The 11,387-nt window shown below is 40.4% G+C and overlaps 1 annotated feature.

The window, feature by feature from the left end:
• Positions 778–947: an enhancer, noted in NCBI's record as "experimental_44931 CRE fragment used in MPRA reporter constructs". NCBI's record gives its function as "activates a minimal promoter by MPRAs in K562 erythroleukemia cells, with activity observed for both the introgressed and non-introgressed 16:77122795 variant alleles {active_cell/tissue: K562}" and the evidence as "EXISTENCE:reporter gene assay evidence [ECO:0000049][PMID:34662402]".

An 11,387-nucleotide genomic window follows, 5' to 3' on the forward strand; every position in this document is an offset into this window, starting at 1 on the left:
CAAAGCAAATAACAAAAACTGGTCACGTCCAAAGGTTCCAGTGTAGTTAATAACAATACTAGAAGCTAAAAGCAACAAAACGATGCCTTCAAAATTATTAGGTAAAATAAATTCCTAACTTAGTGTTATGCCCAGGTTACTACCAGTGAATGTACAAGGTAGAATGAAGGCACTTTTAGTCTATAGAATTTCAAAAATTATACTTTCTAAATACCTTTTTCAGAAGTTTAGTAAGGTCTATTCTAGAGTTTGAAGATAACCAGCTTGCCTGGGTTTGCCCACAACTTTTGAAGTTTTAGCACTGAAAATCTTGCATCTCTGAAAAACACTCAGTCCCAGACAAATTAGGACAAAGAGTCACCCTACTCTGGAGTTACCATTAAGAAGATTAAAAATAAGCCTTAAAAGGATTCAATTTATTCCCAGGTAGTCTAACTGTCCACCTTAAAGTCTAGCACTTCTTAAGGAAAAAAAAAAAGCACTGAAAAATTAAAATCTCATAATGTCCATTGGCTAATAAAATATACTAGAAATAAACAGAAAAATGGGATCCATATTGGGTGGAAAATCAGTCAACAAAATACCATAAATGACGAAGATGATAGAATTGTCTAAGACAATTAAAACACCATTTATAACTATTCGACAGGCTGAGAATTTAAAGAAAAAGATAATAAAAAAGAGAAATGGGTAAGCAGGAACCAAGCAGGACTTTCAGAGATGAAAAATGCCAGATCTGAAATGAACAGTTCACTCAATGAGTTTAATGACAGATAAACAGAGCCCGATAATCACACCTTATGAGAAATTAATCTGATGGCAGGGAAATCTGGGTTGCCCAAGCTTCAGACCTGTTCTTGCCGTAAGACACTGACGAGATCAGTGAACTTGAAGCCATGCAACAAAAGCTACCCAAAGTCTTAAAGAGTTCTAGCAGCTTTACCTTTTGGGAGCCCAGAAACATCATTTAGAAGTCAATATATTCTGCTGGAGAGTTCACTTGGAGAAACCACGTAGAGATGCTACCTGGAGGGGAAACGCTGGGATACTATATATAGACGGTGAAAGGCCCAGTTGTCCCAGCACCTCCATCAACCCTCCGGATGAGTATAGCCTCAGTTGCCAGGTGACAAGAGCTACATGGGACATCCCAGGCCAGAGCTGCAGAAGAACTGCCCTGTTGAGCCCAATCAACCCATTAAACTAAATGAGATAACAAAATAGGTATTAAGTCATTTTTAAAAGTGGAAAAGTGTAGATTAACAGAAATGTTCTGACTTTTTCGAGACATGATAAAACAGAGAGCTATGGCTTATAACTATTTGTTATTGAAATATGTGGCCTTACTTTTTAGATCACTCTCAACTCAATAGATCCTGTGTTACTACTGAAGTTAACTCATTCTACTACCCCCAACCTTTCCTCTGCAGTAACCTTCCAGTTTTTGAATAACCAAAAACCTTCTTCCAGTGTTTCCACTACCTCCAGAAACAGTGTGTGTTGGCCTAAGAGGGAAGAGAGAAAAAATAATACTGTTTCATGACTGGGGAGCAAGAAGAGTAAACCTTGAGGTTTGAGACATATAGAGTGCTCCTAACACTCTAACTCCTAACTCCTAACTGAGGTCAGGAGTTCAAGGCCAGCCTGGCCAACATGGTAAAACCTCGTCTCTACCAAAAATACAAAAATTAGCCAGTCGTGGTTGTGTGCACCTGTAGTCCCAGCTACTCGGGAGGCTGAAGCAGGAGAATCACTTGAACCCGGGAGGCGGAGGTTGCAGTGAGCTGAGATCGTACCACTGTGCTCCATTCTGGGAGACAAGAGTAAAACTCCATCTCAAAAAAAAAAAAAAAAAGACTGCAACCAAGTGGCTTGAAATATGGGAGGCTTAGTCCTTCAGTATAGAATGAAAACCTGTAATACAGCATCAAAATATTTCAGTTATATTCTGAGTTACATTGGTTTCTGGAGGCCTAACCACCATTTTTAGCATGTTTTCACTGGAAAATGTGTTTCGCATTAATCTATTAATGATCCTTCCTACCAAGGAAGCTCACATTTGTAACATCAAAAAGCCTAGTCATTCATCAGCCAGATTGCAAAAGTTCACTCCTACAGATAACAAGTTTTTCATAAATCAGAGTTAAATAAGACTGATAAAGATGGCTCATAATTCTTCCACGTCTCTCCCTCCTGAGTACCTCCTCATTACTGCTGTTTTAATACATGGCTGTTGCTTTTCCCACTCATAGCTTATCTCCTTGTCTAGGTTATAAGCACAGTGATGGCCAAGGACCATGACTCACACTCCTCCACAAGCTTTTAGACAGTGTCTGACCCTTCATAGCCTCTCCCTACACTCAGAGTTTAATTTCTGTTTGGATTCATTTCACCCACTTATATCATAGGATGGTAGTGGTATAAAACCAGAGTTCCTTGTGGTTTTCCCTCAAAGTGCTCAGGTACACATGTCATAGACCTAAGGTAGCTCACTTTTGAGTGGGCTGACATGCACTGCAGTCTTAATAAAAGCAAGAAAATCTGGGGTGCTTAAACTGCAGACCTGTTCTTGACATAAGCCAGGATAGCTGGAGCCACTTTGGACCCACATTGCTGAGACAAGATCAGAGTCACTTCATGATCCAGAGCAGCATTAAAACCAAATGAACCGGCCAGGAGTGATGGCTCACGCCTGTAATCCCAGCACTTTGGGAGGCCCAGGTGGGCGGATTGCTTGAGGTCAGGAGCTGGAGACGAGCCTGGCCAATAAGGTGAAACCCTGTCTCTACTAAAAATACAAAAAATTAGCCGGGCATTGTGGCACATGCCTATAGTCCTAGCTACTCAGGAGGCTGAGGCAGGAGAAACACTTGAACCCGGGAGCAGAGGTTGCAGTGAGCCAAGATCTCACCACTGCACTCCAGCCTTGGGCGACAGAGCAAGACTCCATCTCAATAAACAAACAAACAAACAAACCATAGCAGAAAGTAATGTTAAATTTGAAAACTCAAGCAATTAGCTGGCATTTTCTAGGAGATATCCAAAGTAAGGGGTGAATAGGAATTACTGTGATCTTCTAGGGCAGGCTCGGGGTCTTCTGAGTTTCAAGAATCCAAGGTTAGGGGGAGAGAGCCGAGTATGCAAAGAGAGTTTGAGTCAATTGTTGCAATTGGGACAGGAAAAGCCTTTAAGAATCGGGATATCTGGGAAGCTCATTGGGAATCCTTGGACACTGTCAATGAGACTGGCTTTGGGCAAAACTTGTTTCACATTTCTCCAGGGGCATAGTGAGGGAAACAGAGACAGCTCCATATTTTCCAGCTTTATGTGTCCTCACATCTTTAATTTTTAGTGTTCAGCAAGTCTCACTCATCTGAGCTTTTTGATTGCCTCATCTGCTTTCCATCCTGTTTGTTTTATTTTATCCATTGGATGCTTGGCACTAGTTTTTGCTTCACACTAATCGCAGTTGCCATCTATTGACTGAATATGATGCTGTGGAGAAGGTGAGAAAGAGTGATCTAGCAGGAACATTAGAGGGTGAAGATGCCAAGAACAGCAGAGGACACGGAGCCTGATAATCGCACCTTCTGAGAAGCTAATCTGATGGCAACTGAAGAGACCTATAAACTTATAGCATTCTGATTCTTTAAGAGAATGCCCTATCTTAGAAATCCAATATTTAAAAAATCAAAATATGTGCTTTATAGCATGAACCTTTCACTGAATAAAAAGATAAGGGCCCTGTGAACATGTGAAAGCAAGGCTAGAATAGAGGTGCATGCCAATAATTAAAAGTAAGAACAGTGGAACCTTTGTAAATGGTGTTCTGGATTTGAAGTGGTGGTGAAATGACCCCAATGTCTACCCAATGAGTGGGCAAAAGGCAGGTTATGGCACAGGGTGCTCTCTGACTTGTGTTTATAAATTTCGTAAAAATACATTAGACGGAGAGTTACAATGATGAAGCACTAACGTGATTATTTATGTCTGAGTTGGGAACATTTGTGGAAATGTATGAATGTTCTATACACACCCAGGAAGTTGCTGAGAATAGAACTGAAATCTCAAGTCTTGAGTACTGTGGGGAAAAAAGCATTACTGGAAGTTGAATTGCTCCTAGAAGTTATCATATCTGGAGTATATATTTTTTCACTCAGAAAAATCTCTGTGTGAGAGACACTGACTCTCAAAGAGCACTGCAACAAAAATGATGGCCCCTTTTCAAAATGTATTCTACTACGTTTTATTCATCCTTCACCACCGCTCCTGTTCTCTCTCCCGTCCATGTATGAATTTACTGAGATGGAAATGTCAAATGGATTAGAGGTGTCTCCAGGTCACTTGGAAGACAAAGAGGGGCTCAGACTACTGCTGGAAGGGGAGCTAAAATAATCGCAAATCACCCAGAAAGCACAGGAGCAATGTTGCAACCAAAGCACACACTTCTTCAGGAGTAAGGGACAGGAAGAGGTGAATTCCAGCTGATGCGGCGGGGAGAGCCTTGAGCACTTTCCTGGAGGCTTGACCACTGGTGGGGGTATCAATGGGTGGGCTTAAGCACCTAGAAATACTAATCACTAATTTATGAGTGGTTGAAGAAACTAGAGATAGTCTATCTGAGGAAGAGAAAAATCAATGGAAAACATTAGAGTTGTCTTCAACATCTGAAGGATTACCAAGTTGAAGAGGATGAACATTTGTTTTGAGCTCCTCCAGAGGAAAAAACCAGGATGCACCAAGGGAAAAATTCAAGGAGACAAAACTGAGCACCAGGGAATAAGTTTATTTCTAACCCTTTAAAATTGATTACAATTTTGTTAAAAAGTCAATCTTTTCCTTCAAAAGTCAACATAGAGCAAAGGGACCAATATAAAATAAAAAGTATTTCCTCCAAATAGTCACCTTCATCCAGAGAATTCCTGGAAAACATAAATGTTGAATGTATTTTTATGAACATGTTAATTATAAATGTTAAAGACAAATATCCCTTTAAAATGTAGATGTATGCTTTGTGGTAGTCCCCCCACCCCGCAAATCCCTCCTTCCCTGTCTGCCCCACAATAAGCAAGTGAGTCTTATAAAAGAGGAACTCAGCCAAAGTTATTTGCATGAGCTTGATCAATTATGAGCTCCCACAACAGAATAATAAGAGGAAAATGGAATTCAGATGAGTAACAAATATGCCATCCACTACTTTGATGACAAATTCAGTTTAACTATATTAAGCAACATGAAAGAGCTCAAAGACAGAATCTGACAACACATTTTGATGTCTTTGCTGGCAGATTCTTCAGAACTCCCTAAAGACCTATTTTTCCATAACCAGGTTAAGCATCATCGACAGGTGTATTTCATAAGTATAGTAAAGGCATTGAGATTTACAAAAAAAAAAAAAAAAAAACACAGTGGATCTTATTCGTTATGTCGCAATGGAGCTATGCTATATTCCAAGGGCAGACACTCACTCCAGTCTTTTAAAACAAAGGGACAGACTCATTCATCCAACTAATCAATATGAATTCCCTGGTCCAGAAAAGGAATATAAATCAGCAGCTGTTCCATGGTCAGTTTTCTCATCTACCCCTCCTCCTAGCTACAAGAAGGTAGAAAGTGGGGCATGTGTCAGCAGGAAAATGACTCGGGCTTTTATATTGACAAGCATTGCCATTGGGCCGCAAATTCCCCATGGCAGCTGTGCTCAGATCAATGCTGCTGAAGGTAAGGAAGAGGAGTTTGTTGGGTTTGGGTATTTATTACATTCTGTACTTTGCTGTACTGCAGAAGATGTTATTGTTTGTTAGGGAATGTGGAAGAAAAGAAAAATCATGCCCAGTTTGCCCCGTCCATCTAGCAAGATGCACATGCCTTTAAAGGAATTATGTGGCCTCCACCTTTTTCTAACAGTTTCAAGTTGACCCATAACTACATTATTTGATGAACACCAAAAAGGTATTAGACACCATCCTAAGCTGCTGCTCTCTTCCCCATTATAACATTTCCCGGTCCATCAGAGTCAGTAAATGACTTCTTGACTTTGTTACGGCAACTTTGCCTGCCAAAGAGCAGAGCTTAGTTTAACACTCTGTTTCCCTCCCCCTTCCTTCCTCTTCATGTACACATTCTCATACAACCCATATCCTCAGGAGCCTGTCTTCCTCAGTCCTAGCACTGACCCATAGAATATATTCAAGTGTTTTTTTTTCCTTTTGTCTAGCTCACCAGTCCATGAGCTTTCTAAATACAAGAACAGATTTCCTTTACCCTTTTGATGGACCCTGTGATGTGTTGTCCAGATCATCCTGCAAGGGAAGATCCATTCTCCCAGCAGATGGGAGTGCTTTCAACCTTTAGGGGTTGCCTAAGCTGCAGCGCTGCCTCATGCCAGGTCATACCCTTGCCTGGGGTGGCCTATGTCAAATGGATGATGGATGCAGGAGTTTGAAGTCCTAATCTTCCAGGATGACTCAGGACAGTTCTGAATGACTATTCTAGCCCCAGACCTCTCCATGCATTCAGGCAAGGCATATGGGGTCTGAACTGTAGCTCAACTTCCCGAACTCCAAATTTTTCCCTCCCTTCAACATGCGTTGTCCTAAGTTCACTCCTTATTAAGGCTCCTGCTTACTAAACTCTTAGCATCTGCTTTCCAAAGAAAGCAGGGCCACCCCTGTATTCATCCCATTGAAGTCTCTAGCCAGTGGTGTGCTGGAAAATGGCAAGAAGCAGCTCCAGGCAGGAAAGCCCTGATCTATAGTATTTGCCATAGTTCTGTGGCATAAATGCACCCACTGTGCCTAATATCAAGCTACTGATGGTTTATTAATCAGCTTACAAAATTCCTAAAAATTCAACTACTGTTTCTCTCAAATTAACCATCTCTAGCACCTGTGTCCAATCTATGGTATTGCCATATTTTTGCAAAATTTAAGAACAATTATGTGCCAAGTTCTTCAAACTTAGTGTTTCATTTAATTCTCATGGCAACCTTGGGAAGTTATATTTCCAATTTTACAGATGAGGAAATGCTATTTCCAAAATGAAGAAATAAAGTAAGATGCCTCAGCAGCCTTCCTCACACTGCCAGGACTGGACAAAGATATAAAGTTTTGATGTTAGGATTTATTTACCAATTCATCCATGTATTAATTCAAATAATCATGACTGCTCATCTTATGAGCTGAGCCTTGAAAGATAACTAGGATTTAACCCAGCTGATAATGGTGGCAAGTGTTCCAAAGCCATAGTAGTAAGAGACTAGTGGGGTTAAAAACAACAACAACAAAAAAAAAAAAAAAAAAAAAAAAACAACCTCTGAGCCAGGCATGGTGGCTCACACCTGTAATCCCAGAACTTTGGGAGGCAGAAGGATTGCTTGAGCCTAGGAGTTTGAGACCAAACCAGCCTGGGCAACATAATGAGACCTCGTCTCTACTAAAGATTAAAAAAAAAAAAAAAAAAAAAAAAACACAGGTGTGGTGGCTCTTACCTGTAGCCCTAGCTACTCAGGAGGCTGAGGTGGGAGAATCGCTTGAGCCTAGGAGGTCTAGGCTGCAGTGAACTATGATTGCACCACTGTACTCCAGCCTGGGCAACAGAGTAAGACCCTGTCTCAACAAAAACCAAACAAATGGAAAATGAACAACCAACCTGCTTTTAAGACTAAACTATGTGATACAGATGGGGAACTGAAGGAAGCTGAGCCCAGCAAGAGAGACAATAGCCAGGCCCAGACCCCTGCCTTCCCACTATAAGTTTATTGTCTTGAATCAACAACTAACCATTGAATTATGTTGAATTAACCATTAAACTTATATATAAGTATGCAGATGGTTGATCATGCTGCTGCTGTTATTTCAAGGGTACTGGAAATGCGTATGACTTGAAATAATGTCCTCATAATGCTAAAAATTTTAACATTAAGGAAGAAAGAGCAAAATGACATGAACACACTTGATGCAATGCATGATTTTAACTCATGTCAGTGGATCATCCAATCGACTTGGTAAATGTTAACCACCATTTCTAAATAATATACAATATCAGAATGCACCAAATAATTAAACATTAGTGTTTTATGAAGCTTTTATTTCATGTATGTTTGCACACAAGCACATTCACATGTATGCATTCACAGATGGTGAAATGTGCAAAGAAGCATCAGGACACTGGCCATAGCATGACCATATTTTGGTTTTCATCTCCTTAATTATGCTGTGACCCAGGTTAAAAACCTATCTGTGTGCTTACTCAGCGTCCTCATCAGCTTTAGCTTAAAAAAATTGTTTTCAAGATTAAAGAAAAATCATACAGTGCCTGGTACTGAGTGAGTAATTATTAGGCTGGTGCAAAAGTAATTGCAGTTTTTGCCTTTTTAATCACAAAACCCCATAATAACTTTTGCACAAACCTAATACTTGGTAAATGGTGATGAAATTTTGAGGGAATCATCTATTATGTAAGAAGAATTGCCTTTTATGTTTCAAAATTCATTTTTCAATTTTTATTTGTATAAATTTAGGGGGGTACAAATGCAGTTTTGACACAAGGCTGTATTGTGTGGTGGTGAAGTCTGGGATTTTATTATACCCATTCCCTGAATAGCAGAAATTGTACCCATTAAATACTTTCTCATCCCTACCCCTGTCCCACCCATCCAAGTCTTCAAAGTCTATTTTTCCACACTATGTCCTTCTCTACACATTATTTATTAGCACATAAAGACAGTGCTGAAATTCACTTCCTATTAAGTAGCTAGTACTAACAGAAAAACTAACACTAGGCCAGGCGTGGTGGCTCACGCCTGTAATCCCAGCACTTTGGGAGGCTGAGGCGGGCGAATCACAAGGTCAAGAGAGAAAGACCATCCTGGCCAATATGGTGAAACCTCGTCTCTACTAAAAAGACAAAAATTAGCCGGGCGTGGCAGCATGCACCTGTAGTCCCAGCTACTAGGGAGGCTGAGGCAGAAGAATTGCTTGAGCCCGGGAAGCGGAGGTTGCAGTGAGCCAAGATTGTGCCACTGTGCTCCAGCCTGGGTGACAGAGCGAGACTCTGTCTCAAAAAAAAAAAGAAGAAGAAGAAGAAAGAAAAACTAACACTAACCTAATTCTGTAATTCTGTCATGGTCTTAATAACCACTTTAGAGATTAAAATGAGTATTTTTCTTCTGCAAACTGGTAAACTTAAGGGTTTGTCATCAAATACATAAAATGTTTATCAACACTGAAGACTAAGTAAATGAATGAGTAAAAATGAACCAATTCCAAGCACCTCTTGGTTATAGACAGACAAAAGACCAAGCAATTTGCAAAGAGGTGATTTTTGGGAAAGGACAACTGAGGGTACAAGTCATGGAAACTGGACACTTAGGCACTGTTTGATAAAGTAATTGCTTGGGAAACTTCTACCCAAGTATCTTGGGAAGTGGAAGGAAAGTTGATTTGTGGGGAAAGGTCTAAACGTGGGCACTCAAAAGGGTTAGGCTGAGAAGAGAGAATATTATGACAAATGGCACCCAGAGGCCTTCTTACTGAGGTCTGGAGACATCGTTATGTTGACATGAAGGCAGTTCAGTCCAGTTACCGCCGTAATGAAGGGTGTTGCCCGCAGGCACTCATTCAAGGAGTCACATACCCCATCTAACTGGCCTCTTTCCAGCTTATTCTAAGTTTGCTCCTCCTCACCACCTCCTCTCAGCTGTCCTTCTTTTAACAAATTTAGAAGAAACCTTCGATTTCTACCTTCACGATTAGAGAGAAAAACTACAAAAGGTGCAGATATCCTCAGTGTAGGTTTAGGGAAAGTTTTCGATGATGGGTGTTTCCAAGTACTGAGAACTTTGTATCACAATAAGGGGTTTAAAAATTCTGAACTTCAAAGTTGTGACTTTTTGGAAACCATCACTGGTTGTCCTATAGTTGACAGTCAAGTCAAATCCAACCTCAATCAGAGGGAGAAAGAATGAGAACTTTTTAGGATCATGACACCAAGATTTTTTTTTTTTTTTTTGAAACAGAGTCTTGCTCTGTCGCCCGGGCTGGAGTGCAGTGGTGCAATCTCAGCTCACTGCAACCTCTGCCGCCCGGGTTCAAGCAATTCTCCTGCCTCAGCCTCCTGAGTGGCTGGGATTACAGGCGCCCACCACCACGCCCGGCTAATTTTTGTATTTTTAGTAGAGACGGGGTTTCAGCATCTTGACCAGGCTGGTCTTGAACTCCTGACCTCGTGAACCACCCACCTTGGCCTCCCAAAGTGCTGGGATTACAGGCGTGGACCACTGTGCCTGACCCAAAGAATGTTTTTATAGAGAAATTTAAAAAATGTTTAAAAGTTTAGGAATTTTTTAAAAAAAATCAGAAAATTAGGCAACATGGCAAAACCTTGTCTCCTAAAAATGCAAAAGTTAGCCAGGCACAGTGGCACACGCTTGTAGTCCCAGCTTCTTGGGAGGCTGAATAGGGAGGATTGCTTGAGTCTGGAAGGTAGAGGTTGCAGTGAACCAAGATCACACCACTGCACTCCAGCCTGGGGGGACAGATTGAAACCCTGTCTCAAAAAAAAAAAAAAAAATCAGAAAATATTGTGAAATGTAGAAAACTTTGAAATAAAAGAGGAAAGAAATGCATAATAGGCACGCAATCTCTCTGACAATAAATTAAGGGAACGTTATGTGTAAAACTTGGTGAAGTTTGCTTTGAAGGAAAATAGACGTCAGAAAAAAAAATTTAGGTATTTTCTCATTCCTTAATTGCCACAGGTCCAACTTTCTTAAAGGAAATTTTTATAGGAATTTTTTACAGCAAAATGACAGAACAAGATATACTCATCTAGGAACTGACCCCATGTAGCATTTTTCAATACAAATTGAAACACTTTGGTGATGGATCAGTTTACCAGGGAAGAATTAAATAATCCTTGCCCTGAAATGTATTATCTGGGATCTCACGGGGAGAGCATTACATGTGGGGGCAGCTCTAATTACAAGAAATAATTGCAGGTGAACGCAAGGCAGTTCCCCACCTTAGATGATGAATTATACTGAGAGGCAAGGACACCATATGTGAAATGCTAATGCTTTCATCACTATGACATTGCAAGGAAATCTCACACCCAAAAGCAAAACCCAAGGAAAAGCACATTTGACAAATACTGCTAACGGGAACCAGTTATTCCATTTGCAATTTGCAATGGATTCTTACTCAGTAAATATATACCATAGATTTAGTACCTACAGATATATTTATTTACTAATAGTAAAAGTCTCTAAGATCAAAGAGTGAATCAATTGCAATGGGATAGCCTAGGAAAAGCATCTTTGCTAAATGCTATATAACTTGAGGGCATATTCCAGATCTGAACATGACTGGCAAAATCCATAACTATAA

This window comes from Homo sapiens, chromosome 16 (assembly GCF_000001405.40).
Source record: "Homo sapiens chromosome 16, GRCh38.p14 Primary Assembly".
Lineage (NCBI taxonomy): Eukaryota > Metazoa > Chordata > Mammalia > Primates > Hominidae > Homo > Homo sapiens.